This window comes from Homo sapiens, chromosome 16, assembly GCF_000001405.40.
Source record: "Homo sapiens chromosome 16, GRCh38.p14 Primary Assembly".
Taxonomy (NCBI): domain Eukaryota; kingdom Metazoa; phylum Chordata; class Mammalia; order Primates; family Hominidae; genus Homo; species Homo sapiens.
The window spans coordinates 69,797,787-69,812,983 of NC_000016.10; the positions used below are offsets into that span (position 1 = coordinate 69,797,787).

Consider the following 15,197-nt stretch of genomic DNA (forward strand, 5'->3'; position numbering starts at 1 on the left):
GCTAAGGCAGGAGAATTGCTTAACCTGGGAGGCAGAGGTTGCAGTGAGCCGAGATTGTGGCATTACACTCCAGCCTGGGCAACAAGAGCCAAACTCTATCTCAGAAAAAAAAAAAAAATTATAAATTTTGTTATGTTCCCAGGCTGGTCTTGAACTCCTGGGCTGAAGCAGCCCTCCCACCTTGGCCTCCCAAAGTGCTGGGATTCCAGGCATGAGCCGCCACGCCCGGCCTTAGCTGTTGTCTTTACACCATGCGTTTTTAACCCATGGATTTGCAAAAAGTGAACAAGCATATCCCTTAGCACTCTGTGATGTCTGGTAAAATGAATATTCTCCTGTAGCACTGATGGGAGGCTACATGGGTTTACCTTTCTTGGAAAGGAATGGGCAGTTTTAAGAACTTTAAAAAGTGTTCGTATCCTTTGGAGGAATACTCAAGAAAGGCATGCAGATGTATATGTTCACGGTAATTTCCCCAGAGCGAACAATTGCAAGCAGTCTATTCGACAATGAAAGAATAGTTAACATATACCTATTATGGGCTTGTATTGCAGTCATTTAAGAGTGACTTATGGGGGTGAAGAATTTTTAAAGAATTGAATAAATAAAAGATGAAAATCTGGAAGGCAATTTACCAACGATAAATTGGTGATGATGATCACTGGCAGTTATCCCAGTGGTTTCAGGTTAGGGATTTTTTTTTTTTTTTTACACTTCATATTTTTTTTGGTGTGTGTACTCACATTTCTTTAAAAAGTTTTTAGAATCAAGACAAAACAAAATGTATTGATTTATTTTTTAAAGCAATAACTAAAAAGAGCCGGAACATCTGCCACAGGGGGGCATCTGGGAGCCCTGGGACTCATCTTTGACTTTTTCTTTCTTTCTCTCCCAGTGGTGTCCGCAAAGCCCAAGGTGCATAATCGTCAACCTCGAATTAACTCCTACGTGGAGGTGGCGGTGGATGGACTCCCCAGTGAGACCAAGAAGACTGGGAAGCGCATTGGGAGCTCTGAGCTTCTCTGGAATGAGATCATCATTTTGTAAGAGAAAGCCCCTTCTTTTTGAACGCAGCAAGATGGGGAAAGAGAGAGGGTGCTCCGAGGGGGTTGTGGGAGGTACAGATTCCCTGTGGCACCTCCGACTTTTTCTACCTATGGTACCCAAGGTGACTCTTTTTAGGTGTTCCTACACCATTGAGCTCATAGAGCGTTCATTATTATCTAGAGGGTTACAGGGTCAGCTTTGAGAGGGGAAAGGATATATGTGGGTGTCTGCCTGTTTTGGTTCCCCCTCCCCAAGATGTCAGCAGTTTAGTTTAAATGTTTTCTTCTAAGTTATAGGAATGATCTGCTTGGATGTAATGAATCAGGTATTTGTTTTTCAGGAATGTCACGGCACAGAGTCATTTAGATTTAAAGGTCTGGAGCTGCCATACCTTGAGAAATGAACTGCTAGGCACCGCATCTGTCAACCTCTCCAACGTCTTGAAGAACAATGGGGGCAAAAGTACGTATGATGAAGGGGGTGCCGACGTGATTCTTGGGTGGGGATGGGAGGACCTGGCAGATCAACCTGGTATTGCAATTTCCCCCAGGACTAGGGGCTGCAGTACCTCTGTTCTCCTTGGATGCTGTCTTTGGAGTTTTGGGAAGGCTGAGGGCTCCTCTCTGCCTCCACTACAGAGTTTAGCCCTCTTTGTCCAGGGCCTCTAGTAATGTGATGCAGTGGTGTGTTGCCCTTTATCCTTCCTTAGGGACTGGAAACTTTCTGTCTGCCTCTGCTCCTCTTCCCGTTGCAGGAGATGTGTGATATGTTGAATGAAACTGTCAAATACCTCTAGCCTAAATCATTGCTTTTCTAGCCTCAGCCCTAAAACAGAACAAAGGAGCTGTGTGTATACGTATATGTGTGTGTGTGCATGCCTGTGTGCATGTGTGCACGTGTGTGTCTGGGATAGTATTACAAATAGTGCCCTGTGCTTACTCGGCACTCAGTAAACATTTACTGGATGTTGGAACGTGATGGACGCGCCATCTGAATTAGCCAACGTGCCTCTACGTCACGGACATATAAATCCTCATCTATTTATTGCTGTTTGTGGTCAGTGGCATGGCCCATGGCGGTGGTATTGGACCCTCCTTCATAAGGCCTCTATTCAGAGCAGTACCATATGTGGCGAATGAATGGCATGGAAAGAAAGGCTCCTTTTTCTCTTGATATCTGGAAAGTATTTTCTGAAAGTGGATGTAGCTTAAGAGAGAGGTGGGGGCGGGGAGAGTTGCGTCCCAGCGAGCGTGTTACATGATTTAAGAGTCTTTCTTTTCTCTCCAAGCCTGTCCTTTTAAGCGATGGGCCACTTGAAAGGTCTTTGAGCCTCCTCTGGTCTTTTCTTTTCGGCTGGGCACATAGAGATGTGCTGAACCCACACTGGCCCGAGGAATTGTTTAAAACCAGAGATGTGCCTCCACTTTAATCCTGCAGAGAACTCCCTGATTGCTTTGTCTTCTGAATTGGTGTTTATTTTCCCAAACCCTAGCCAGCCTTTTGTAATTTGATCATCAGGGAGAATTCTATTTATTGCAATATTTGGAAATATACTTGTGGATAGCCTCACATTAGGATGCAGCAACCAGCATGAGGGTCCTTTTTTCCTCTTCATTTGCCCAGCCAATATACTTTTGCTTTTGGTTAGCAAAAGTCCTTGTAGAAATTGTAAATTACAGAAAGAAAACAAAATTTGCCCCTAAGCACAGCACCTAGTAATAGTTATTGTTTTTTCTTTTTTTTTTTTTTGAGATGGAGTCTTACTCTGTTGCCCAGGCTGGAGTGTAGTGGTGCAATCTCGGCTCACTGCAACCTCCGCCTCCCAGGTTCAAGCGATCCTACCACCTCAGCCTCCCAAGTAGCTGGGATTACAGGCATGTGCCACCATTCCCAGCTAATTTTTGTATTTTTAGTAGACATGAGGTTTCACTGTGTTGGTCAGGCTGGTCTTGAACTCCTGACCTCAGGTGATCTGCCCGCCTCATCCTCCCAAAGTGTTGGGATTACAGGCGTGAGCCACTGCACCCAGCCTGATAGTTATTCTTAATGTTTTTTTAAAAGCAATTTTATGGCCGGGGGTGGTAGCTCACGCCTGTAATCCCAGTACTTTGGGAGGCTGAGGCGGGTGGATCACCTGAGGTCAGGAGTTCGTGACCAGCCTGGCCAATATGGCGAAACCCTGTTTCTACTAAGAAAAATACAACAATTACCCAGGGATGGTGGTGGGCGCCTGTAATCCCGGCTACTCAGGACGCTGAGACAGAAGAATCGCTTGAACCCGGGAGGTGGAGGTTCCAGTGAGCCGAGATTGCGCCACTGCACTCCAGCCTGGGTGACAGAGCAAGTCTTAAAAAAAAAAAAAAAGCAATTTTACTTTAATTAATTAATTTTTATTTTTATATATATATATTTTTTGAGACAGGTTTCTCACTTTGTCACTCAGGCTGGAGTGCAGTGGTGCAATCTCGGCTCACCGTAGCCTCTGCTCCTGGGCTCAAGTGATCCTCCCACCTCAGCCCCCACCCCTAGTAGCTGGGACTACAGGCACACGCCACCATGGCCTGGCTGTATTTCATATTTTTAGTAGAGAGTAGGTCTCACTATGTTGCCAGGATGGTCTGGAACTCCTGAGCTCAAGTGATCCGCCTGCCTTGGCCTTCCAAAGTGCTGGGATTACAGATGCGAGCCACTGCGTCTGGCCAATTAATTAATTTTTAGATTGAGATGGGATCTCCCTATATTGCTCAGGCTGGAGTGTAGTGGCTATTTATAGGCACGATCACAGCTCACTGTAGCCTCAAACTCCCAGCCTCAAGCCATCTCCTGCCTCAGCCTCCGGAATAGCTGGAACCACAGGCGTGCACCACTATACCTGACTACTGTTAACATTTTGATGTATACATTTTTGAGCTTTTAAATTTTATCTTTTAAATAATTTTTTCCCCTCAGATCCTTGTTCTGATCTTTTTTTATATTTGTAGACGTATATTGATGTTTATGACATCAATGAAACTAAATTGAGATTATACATGAACATATTATTTTGCAATATGCCTTTTTCTCTTTAAAAATGTATCAATATATATTTATTTTTATTTATTTATTTTTTTTTCTGAGACGGAGTCTTGCCCTGTTGCCCAGGCTGGAGTGCAGTGGCGCGATCTTGGCTCACCACAACCTTTGCCTTCTGGGTTCAAGCGATTCTCCTGCCTCAGCCTCCCGAGTAGCTGGGACTACAGGCACCCACCACCATGCCCGGCTAATTTTTGTATTTTTAACAGAGACAGGGTTTCACTATGTTGGCCAGGCTGGTCTCGATCTCCTGACCTCGTGATCTGCCCGCCTCGGCCTCCCAAAGTGCTGGATTACAGGCATGAGCCACCGTGCCTGGCCTATATTTATTTTTAGTTGTGATAAAATACACATGATGTAAAATTAATCACGTTAATAATTTTTAGGTGTATAGGTTAGTGGTGTTAAGTACATTCACCTTGTACAACCATCACCACCATCTATCCCCAGAACTCTTTTCACCTTGCAAAACTGAAATTCTGTCCCATTAAACCATGACTCCCCCATCCTCCCCTCGCACCAGCACCTGGCAGCTACCGCTCTACTTTCTGCTTCTGTGAATTTGGCTTTTCCAGGTAGCTTATGTTAGTGGAACCATACAGTATTTGTCCTTTTATGACTGGCTTATTTCAGTCAGCATAATGTCCTCAAGGCTTATTCATGTTGTAACATGCGTCAGAAGATTTTTCTTTCCTTTTGTTTTTTTTTTTTTTGAGACAGGGTCTCGCACTGTCGCTCAGGCTGGAGTGCAGTGGCGCGATCTCGGCTCACTGCAACCCCTGTCTCCTGGGTTCAAGTGATTCTCCTGCCTCAAGCTTCCAAGTAGCTAGGATTATGACAGGTACCTGCCACCATGCCCAGCTAATTTTTTTATTTTTAGTAGAGACGGGAGTTTCACCATGTTGGCCAGGCTGGTCTCGAACTCCTGACCTCAAGTGATCTGCCCACCTTGGCCTTCCAAAGTGCTGGGATTACAGGCATAAACCACCGCATCTGGCCCAAGATATCTTATTATGTATGTGCAAATATACCAAAATCTGAAAAAATCTGAAATCCAAAACACTTCCAGTCCCAAGCATTTCAAATAAATACTTATGAGACCTGTACAATTTACCTTCCCATCAGCAGTGGCTGAAATTTCTGGTTTGTATTGTACCTTGGCATATATTGGATATTACTTGTAAAAAAAAAAAGCCTTTTTTTTTCCTATTTGATAACTATTAACATTATGATGGATTTGCTTTTCCTGTTTCTTTTTGGCTGAATTATTTTTATTTTCTTATTTTTTACTTTTTTGCTCTGATCTCCTGGCCTCTCAATAAGAAGTATTTTAAAGTATATTCTAGACGTCCTGACATTTTATCCTAGATTCTTCAGCATGCATCTTGTTAAAACAGGACATTTTCTTTATTTTAATTCTTCTACTTTTTTCTATTTTTTTTTTACTTTGGAACATTTACATAAAAAAAACATTATCTTACACAATTACTGTATCGTTATCACATTTAGCAATAGTGACATGAATTCCTATTTATGTCTAATAACCTGTTCATAGTTTCACCATTTTTCTCAACATGTCGTTTTGCAGTTTTACATTTGGTTTGCTTGAACCTGGGTTTGGGAAGGTCCATTCATTGGTTGTTCTATCTCTGAGGCCCCCCACTTCCACCCTGCTTTTTTGTGTGTGTGTGTGAAAGCAAATTTGTTAAGAAAGTAAAGGAAGGCAGGGCGCAGTGACTTACACATGTAATCCCAGACCTGGGAGGCGGAGGCAGGTTGATCACCTGAGGCCAGGAGTTCGAGACCAGCCTAGCCAATATGGTGAGACCCTGTCTCTACTAAAAATGCAAAAATTAGCTGGGCACAGTGGCGCACGCCTGTAATCCCAGCTACTCAGGAGTCTGAGGCCGGGGAGTCACTTGAACCTGGGAGGCGAAGGTTGCAGTGAGCTGAGATTGTGCCACTGCAGTCCAGCCTGGATGACAGAGCAAGACTCCGTCTCAAAAAAAAATAAAGTAAAGGAATAAAGAATGGCAGAGCAGCCTCCACCCTACTTTTTAAAGCTGTGATTTGTTGAAGGCTACTGAAGGATTAAAAAAAAGTGTTTATTGCCCTATTAATGTCCTTTGCTCATTTTTATATTGAAGTGTGCATTTTTCTCTTTTGGTATTGAAAGAACTCTTTATTTGTTAAGGTTATTATTCTTCGTCTTACCATTTGTAAATGTTTTTCTAGTTTTTCATTTGCATTCTAACTTTGTATGTTTTTAACTTTCTGTAGTCCAATCTGTCACCCTTTATGTTTTCAGCATTTTCTTTCATGCTTTGGAAGGCATTCCCCCTTCTGAGATGAGGTAAATGGTCACCTCTATTTTTTCCTAGGTGTTTATGATTTTATTTTTTCCTGGGTGTTTATGATTTTATTTTTTCACATTTAATTCTGCATCCACATGAGTTTATTTTTGTGCCCAGTACAAATAGGGATCTAATTCATTTTTTTCCCTAATATGTAGCTGATTGGTTTAGCACTACTTATTGAATAATCCATCTGTTTCCCCAATGACTTGAGTTGCTTCAGCTTATATTAAAAACATATGTGTATTTGGGCCTGCTTAGGGACTTTCCATTGAATCCATCGTTTTATTAGCCTTTCCAAATCACTCTGTCTATGCTATTGTAAAATTATGTTTTAATATCTGGCAGTTAAGTTTCTCTTTTTTTTCAAAGTCTTCATGCTTCTTTTCTTTGCATATATCACATCACTAGATGAACCTTAACAGTTTCATCAGATTCTCTCCTCTTCCTACTCCCCATGCCCCCTAAAAAATCTCTTGAGATTTTATGGAGTCCTGTCATATGTAAAGTTAACGTAATGGGGAATTTTCATACTGAACTCCCCACATAGGAACATGGAATGTTTCTAAATTAATTCAAATAATTTTGAAGTTATCTTTAAATAGATTCCACTTTAAATTTTAAAAACCTTTGGTATTATTTTCAGTGGGATCTTTTCTTATTCTGTCTTCTAACTCAGTATTGTTGGTAAATGGCTGTTTCTGCATTTTCTTTTGTAATCTGTCAGTTTACTGAGTCCTTTAGTATAGGTTTGCAGTAGTTTCTTTTGAGTTTGCTTGGTAGACTTTTTTTTTTTTTGAGATGGAGTCTCACTCTGTCACCCAGGCTGGAGTACAGTGGCATGATCTTGGCTCACTGCAATCTCCACCTCCTGGGTTCAAGCGATTCTCGTGCCTCAGACTACTGAGTAGCTGGGATTACAGGCGCCCAACACCATGCCTAATTTTTGTATTTTTGGTAGAGACGGGGTTTCATCATTAAGGCCAGGCTGGTCTCAAACTCCTGACCTCAGGCGATTTGCCTGCCTCGGCCTCCCAAAGTGCTGGGATTACAGACGTGAGTCACTGCGCCCAGCCTGCTTGGTAGACTTTTATGTGGGTTGTGACACTGATAATTTTGTTAATCCTAAGAGATAATTATATTTCTATTTTGTGTTAGTTGCTTTGCATAAAACTTTCTGTTTTAGTGGTGATAGAGAAATGCCCTCTAGTAAATAACTTCTAGGTGTAAGGCTGGGTATTAGTAACCTTTTTGCTTTCTTCTTCTTTTTTTATTTTATTTTTTGGCACCTTTCTGACTGGGAATCTTTTTGATTTATTAATCATTGCAGGTTAAAAAAAAAGTCAGGAAGGATGTTGAGTTTTTTTTTGAGACAGGATCTTGCTTTGTTGCCCAGGCTGGAGTGCAGTGGCATGATTACCACTCACTGTGGCCTCTACCTCCCAGGCTCAAGCAATCCTCCCATCTCAGTCTCTGGAGTAGCTGGGACTATAGGTGTGTTACTAATTTAATTTTTTTTCTTTTTTTTTTTTTTTAGAGATGGTATCTCACTATGTTGCCCAGGTTGGGTGTTGACTTTGTATCAAATATCTATTAAGCAGCCATTGGAATGATTATATGATTTTTCTTCTTTAAATTACTATATTAATTTCTACAACTGGGCACAGTGGCTCATACCTGTAATCTCAGCACTTTGAGAGGCTGAAGCAGAAGGATCACTTGAGGCCAGTAGTTTGAGACCAGACAGGGAAACATAGCAAGACCCTGTCTCTACTAAAAATTAAAAAAAAAATTAGCCAGGTGTGATGGTGTACGCCTGTAGTCCCACCTACTTGGGTGACTGAGGCAGGAGGATCACTTGAGTCCAGGATTCTGAGGCTGCAGTGAGCTATGATTGTGCCAGTGCACTCTAGGCTGGACAGCAGAGTGAGACCCTGTCTCTAGAAAAGATTTTTAAAAATCTATTATATGAATTTCCTAATAGTAATTATCTTAGAATTTCTAGAATATACCTAGTTGCTCAAGATAGACTATTCCTTGAAAATTTTGTTAGAATTGTTTGTTAATATTTTATATTGGGGTTTTCCATCTATATTCGTTAGTGGTAATTTGTCTGTAGCTTTGGTCTATTTTTGTCAGCTTTGGAATCAAGGCCAAGCTAATTTTATAAAGTAAATTGATGTGCTTTCCAACTTTGGGAACAGTCTCTATAACATGGGAATTATCTGTTCCATGAGTGCAGCAAAGAGCTCACCCATAAAACCAACTGGGTCTGGCATCTTGCTTTGAAATAATTCTTTGATGACTTTTTTTTTCAGTTTTCCCCCCCATAATTACTGGTTTGTTCAGCTTCTTTGTTTCGTCTTGACTCAATTTTGTTAACTCATTTTTTTCTGAGAAAATCGGTTCATGAGATTTTCAAATTTATTAGAATAAGGGTTTTAAATATCATTCTCAGTTTAAAAACGTCTGTAATATTTTTTACTTTAAATTTTTGCTATTTGTGTGTTTCCCCAGTTTTTTTCTTGACTAACTTAAACATTTTTGTTTTTCATTTTTGCTTTTAAATTTACTTTTCATAGAACAACTTCTTGGATTTGTCAGATACCATATTTTGTAATATTAATTTCTGTCTTTAGCTTTATTAACTTTTCTACTATTTGCCCTAGATCTGTTTTATTTATTTATTTATTTATTCATTCATTCATTCATTCATTCATTCATTCATTCATTTATAGCTTTTCAGGTTGAAAGCTTACTGCATTTATCTTTGTCTTTTTTTTTTTGAGATGGAGTTTATCTCTTTTTGCCCAGGATGGAGTGCAATGGCATGATCTTGGCTCACTGCAACCTCTGCCTCCTGGTTTCAAGTGATTCTCCTGCCTTAGCCTCCCAAATAGCTGGTAGCTGGGGTTACAGGCACACGTCACCATGCCCGGCTAATTTTGTATTTTTAGTAGAGATGGGGTTTCACCATGTTGGCTGGGCTAATCTTGAACTCCTGACCTCAGGTGATCCACCTGCCTCAGTCTCCCATACTGCCGGGATTACAGGCGTGAGCCACCGTGCCTGGCCTATCCTTGTCTATTTTTGTTTAATAATGAAAACATGTTTGCTTTGTACTTGTCTTTGAATTTTCACCCCTGGATATTGAATTTTTTTTCTTTCAATGTAGCATTGAAAACTCATCTCTACAAAGATTTAAAAAAATTAGCTAGGTGTGGTGGTGTGTGCCTCTGGTCCCAGCTACTCGGGAGGCTGAGTCGGGAGGATTGCTTGAGCCCAGGAGGCTGAGGCTGCAGCGAGTTGTTATTGTGATACTCCACTCCTGCCTGGGTGACAGAGCAAGACCCTTTCTCCAAAAAAAAAAAAAAAAAAAAAAAAAGAAAAGAAAAAGGAAAATGAAAGGGCAGCCAGGTGCAGTAGCTTATGTCTGTAATCCTAGCACTTTGGGAGGCTGAGGTGGTAGGATTGCTTGAGCTCAGGAATTTGAGACCAGTCTGGGCAACATAGTGAGACCCTGTTTCTACAAAAAAGAAATTTAAAAAAATTAGCCAGGTGTGGTGTTGCACACCTGTAGTCCCAGCTACTTGAGAGGCAGTGGTGGGAGGATTGCTTCAGTCTGGGAGATAGAGGCTGCAGTAAGCTGTAATCATGCTGCACTCCAGCCTGGGTGACAGAGCAAAACCCTATCTCAAACAAACAAACAAAACAAAAAACATTCTTAGTGTTACAACTTGAATATGTACATGTGTCCACAGCTGCGTAATCATCACCCACATCAAGACATAGCATATTTCTAGCATCCCCAGAAGTTTCCCATTGTCCCTTCTAGTTAATTTCTCCTCCCTGAAATAACCACTATTCTGACTTCTATCACTATTGTTCAGCTTTGCCTAGTATTGAATTTCATATTAGTGAGAACATGCAGTATGTTTTCTTGTGCCTGGCTTTTCATTTTATATCTTTGAGATTAAAGATATATGACCTTTTTTTGCATGTGTCAATAGTCTTTTTTTTTTTTAATAGAGATGGGATCTCGCTATATTGCCCAGGCTGGTCTCAAGTGATCCTCCCACTTTGGTCTCCAAAAATGCTGGGATTACAGGCATGAGCCACCATGCCTGGCCTGTCTTTTATTTTTATTTTTATTTTTTTTGAGATGGAGTTTCACTCTTGTCGCCCAGGCTGGGGTGCAATGGTGCAATCTTGGCTCACTGCAACCTCCACCTCCCAGGTTCAAGCAGTTCTCCTGCTTCAGCCTCCTGAATAGTTGACATTACAGGCACCTGCCACCATGCGTGGCTAATTTTTGTATTTTCAGCAGAGACAGGGTTTCGCCATGTTGGCCAGGCTGGTCTTGAACTCCTGACCTCAGGTGGTCTGCCTGCCTCGGCCTCCCAAAGTGTTGGGATTACAGGCGTGAGCCACTGCGCCCGGCCATGGCCTGTCTTTGTATTTGGGTGTAGTGTTCTGTTTTATGAATACACCATAATTTATTTCTCCATTCTCCTATTGGTAGACATTTGAGTTGTTTCCAGTTTTTGGCCATCATGAACAACGCTGACATAAACACTCTCAGGACATGTATTTTGAAGGACACACACATACATTTCTATTGCGTATGTACAGATCTAGGAGCTTTGGTTCATAGGGTGGATGTATGCTTACCTTTAGTAGACACCATCAGTTTTCTAGTGTTGTACCAATTTGCCATCCCATAAATTTTACTGTGCTCTGATCGTTTGTAATTACTGTTGTGATTTTATCTTCAAACCCAGAGTTATTTAAGTGGATGTTTTCCAGTGGTTATATTGTTTGTGGTATTGGTTGTAGCTATTGCTGCTGTTGCTGGCACCAGCCGTAGCACGTTGTGCATGTGGCTGGGTTGGGTAGCAGGCAAATCAGATCAGAGTCTGTTGGAAAATGTGGATTGCAACAGGGCAGTGGGCTTTTTCTTAGAAAAACAAATCTTCTAGGATGACAATGGCGTACGTAGCCTATGTACCTAACATTCCAGCCATGTTTCATAAAGTCTTCTATTTAGAGCCAGGTTATTTCTGGTAATTGCAAATCTTCCCAAAGATGGGGAGGTTTGAATCTCAGAGATGGACCACAGAGACCCTGTTTCCGGATGCGAGACTGTCTTGCCTAAAGGGAAGGCAGTCCTGAGGTTGTTTCAGGAGGGAATTCTAGGATGAGACAAATGCAGAAGCTTTGAGGGTGGCCAGGTACGGTGGCTCACGCCTGTAATCCCAGCACTTTGGGAGGCCAAGGTGGGTGTATCACCTGAGGTCAGGAGTTCGAGACCAGCCTGACCAACATGGTGGAACCCTGTCTCTACTAAAAATACAAAAAATTAGCTGGACGTGGTGGTGTGTATTTGTAATCTCAGCTACTCGGGAGGCTGAGGCAGGAGAATCACTTGAACCCAGGAGGCAGAGGTTGCAGTGAGCCGAGATTGCGCCATTGGATGCCAGCCTGGGTGACAAGAGTGAAACTCCGTCAGAAAGAGAAAGAGAGAGAGAGACAGAGAGAGAGAGAGAGAGATAGGAAGGAAGGAAGGGGAGAGAGAGAAAAAGAAAAAAGAAAGAAGGAAAGAAAAGGAAAAAGCTTTGAGGGTGTGGAGTGGGGAAGCTGTCGTTAACATGGGACATTTCAGCCCCATGGGCTTGCCCCTTGCTCTTGGTGTGGAACAATGTTTGCAGAGTGGTGTCAAATCGTGCATACAGTTGTGTAGGGTAAGTGGGTCACAGTGCGGTTAGGTAACTCCTCTCACCGTGGCCTAGTCTTCCCGCAGCATCTTTTCCTGGGGAAGGACCTGATGGGCGATGGTTGCCCTAACTGACATTCTCCTCTTCCACGGACAGAATTCGTTCTTTCATTTGCTCCCTTGTTTTCCCTGGGTGGACTTGGACATTGGCTGGGAAACTCAGCTGGCTGTTTTCTGCCTGCCTTTGGCAGAGGGATGCTGTAATGCAGGGTTTCACTCACGTCCCGCAGTGGCGGATGGTCAACCTGGGCTGACTTCTCTCTGAGGGGACATTCGCCCTGGCCATGGCTGCAAAAAGACTTGCCCAAAAGTGCTGGTTTGCCTCTTAAAGGTAGTTCTAGTCATCTCTGGGTAGAACCCAGCTTTTGATGTTGCCAGTTCAGTTTTTTAACATCTTTTTTTTTTTTTTTTGAGACGGAGTTTCGCTCTGTCCCCCAGGGACATGAGGGCAGTGGCACAATCTCGGCTCACTGCAAGCTCCGCCTCCTGGGTTCACGCCATTCTCCTGCCTCAGCCTCCCGAGTAGCTGGGACTATAGGCACCCACCACCACGCCTGGCTAATTTTTTGTATTTTTTTTTAGTAGAGATGGGGTTTCACTGTGTTAGCCAGATAGTCTCAATCTCCTGACCTTGTGATCCGCCTGCCTTGGCCTCCCAAAGTTCTAGGATTACAGGCATGAGCCACTGCGCCCAGCCTTAACATCTTTTTACTAGAGGAATTTTCTTTTTTTTTTTTTTTGAGACGGAGTCTCGCTCTGTTGCCCAGACTGGAGTGCAGTGGCACAATCTCCGCTCACTGCAACCTCCGCCTCCCAGGTTCAGGCAATTCTCCTGCCTCAGTCTCCTGAGCAGGTGGGATTACAGGTTCACACCACCACGCCCAGCTAATTTTTCTATTTTTAGTAGAGATGGGGTTTCACCATGTTGGCCAGGCTGGTCTTGAACTCCTGACCTCAAGTGATCTGCCCGCCTTGGCCTCCCAAAGTGCTGGGATTATAGGTATGAGCCACCATGCCCGGCTGGAATTTTCAAACATAATTTTCATGATGCAGCTTCAAGACTTATCAGCATGTTTCATCTGTTCCCACCCACTGGCTGCTCTTAATTTCTTTCTACATTGTTAGCAGGTAGGGTCTAATACTCCATTTCCTCTTGTAGCTCCCCACTCCTGCAGCTCTCCCAGGAGCACTGCAGACTTTGGCTTTCCCAGAATCTCCTACTTTCAAGGAGGTGAATGTAGCTTGAAGTAGGTTTTTTCCCTCCCCAATTTTTGTATTTTTAAATAATTTCAGGCTAGGTGTGGTGGCTCACACCTGTAATCCCAGCATTTTGGGAGGCTAAGGCAGGAGGTTTGCTTGAGCGTGGGAGTTCAAGACCAGCTTGGGCAACATAGTGAGACCCATGCCACCCCTCCATCCCTACAAAAAATAAAAAAATAGCAGGGTCTGGTGGCTTATACCTCCCCACACTTTGGGAGGCTGAGGTGGGAGGCCCTCTTGAGCCTAGGAGTTTGAGACCAGACTCAGTATTGTAGTGAGACACAGTCTCTACAAAAATAAAAATAAAGGAAATAGCTGGGCATGGTGGGCATGCAACGGTAGTCCCAGCCACTTGGGAGGCTGAGGTGGGAGGATCACTTGGGCACAGGACTTAGAGGCTGCAGTGAGCTTTGATTGTGTCACTGCAATCCAGTCTGGATGACAGAGCCAGACCCAGTCTCAAAAAAATAAAAGATTCAAATTCAGAGAAGTGTTACAAGAATAGAACAAAGAACTCCTCAATGTCGTCCTTCACCCAACTGTTAAAATTTGCTACATTTGCTTTCACTGTGTTCTTCTGAGCCATTTTAGAGTAAATTACAAACCTCGTGTTTCTTTCATCCCTAAATACTGATGTGTCTGGTTCCTAAAGGAGAAGGATACTACAGTACAATTAACAAAACTAAGAAATTTCCCGTTTTTGCAGTGTTGTTAATCTAATTCAGATTTCCCAGCTGTCACAGTCCAGGACCTCATGCAAGATGCAGTGTTTAGTTGTCCTGTGTCTTTAAATCTGGATCTGCATCAGTTCCTTAGGGTATTTATGTCTTTCATGACATTGGCATCGGCGTTGTTGAAGAGTACAGACCTTTTTTTTTTTTTTTTTTTTTTTGAGATGGAGTCTCGTTCTGGCACCCAGGCTGGAGTGCAATGACATGATCTTGGCTAACTGCAACCTCTGCCTCCTGGTTCAAGCAATTCTTCCACCTTAGCCTCCTGAGTAGCTGGGATTACAGGCACCCACCATCATGCCCAGCTAATTTTTGTGTCTTTGTAGAGATGGGGTTTCATCATGTTGGCCAGGCTGGTCTTGACCTCTTGACCTCAGGTAACCTGCCCGCCTCGGCCTCCCAAAGTGCTAAGATCACAGGCATGAGACACCGCGCCTGCCCCCAACCCCCCCCCTTTTTTTTTTTTTTTAATTGAGACAGAGTCTGGCTCTGTGGCCCAGGCTGGAGTGCAGTGGTGTGAACACGGCTCACTGCAGCCTCTATCTCCTGGGCTCGAGGAATCCTCCCACTTCAGCCTCTTAGTTGAGACCACAGATATGTGCCACCCTGCCCAGCTAATTTTTAAAAATTATTTGGCAGATTCCCCTCAACTTGGGGCTGTCTGCTTTTCCTCATGGTTAGATTCAGAGTGTGCATTCTTGGCAGGAACACCCAGGAGTGACTTTGTGTCCTTCTCAGTGCAGCATATCTGGGAGCTCATGACTCAGCTTGTTTATTATTGATGACATTAACTTTCATCACTTAGGGTGCTGTGTGTCAGGTTTTTCCACTGCAAAATTACTGTTTCCCCTTGTCAATGAAAAGGTATTATAATTTACGGGGAGGTACTTTGAGACTGTGTAAATGTCTATTCCTCATCACACCTTCACCTGCTAGTTTCTGCATCCGGTGATTTTACTC

At 43.0% G+C, this 15,197-nt stretch overlaps 1 protein-coding gene across 12 annotated transcripts in view; it reads left to right on the plus strand.

Moving 5' to 3' along the window:
- The window catches only part of WWP2 (WW domain containing E3 ubiquitin protein ligase 2), a 179,408-nt gene that overhangs the window by 35,455 nt on the left and 128,756 nt on the right, over positions 1–15,197 (plus strand). For all 12 annotated transcript variants that reach the window (XM_017022879.2, XM_017022881.2, XM_011522823.3 and 9 more), the window contains 2 exons: positions 896–1,043; positions 1,388–1,509. In XM_017022879.2, coding sequence (XP_016878368.1) covers positions 896–1,043; positions 1,388–1,509 — 270 coding nt within the window. The remainder of the gene's footprint in view (positions 1–895; positions 1,044–1,387; positions 1,510–15,197) is intronic.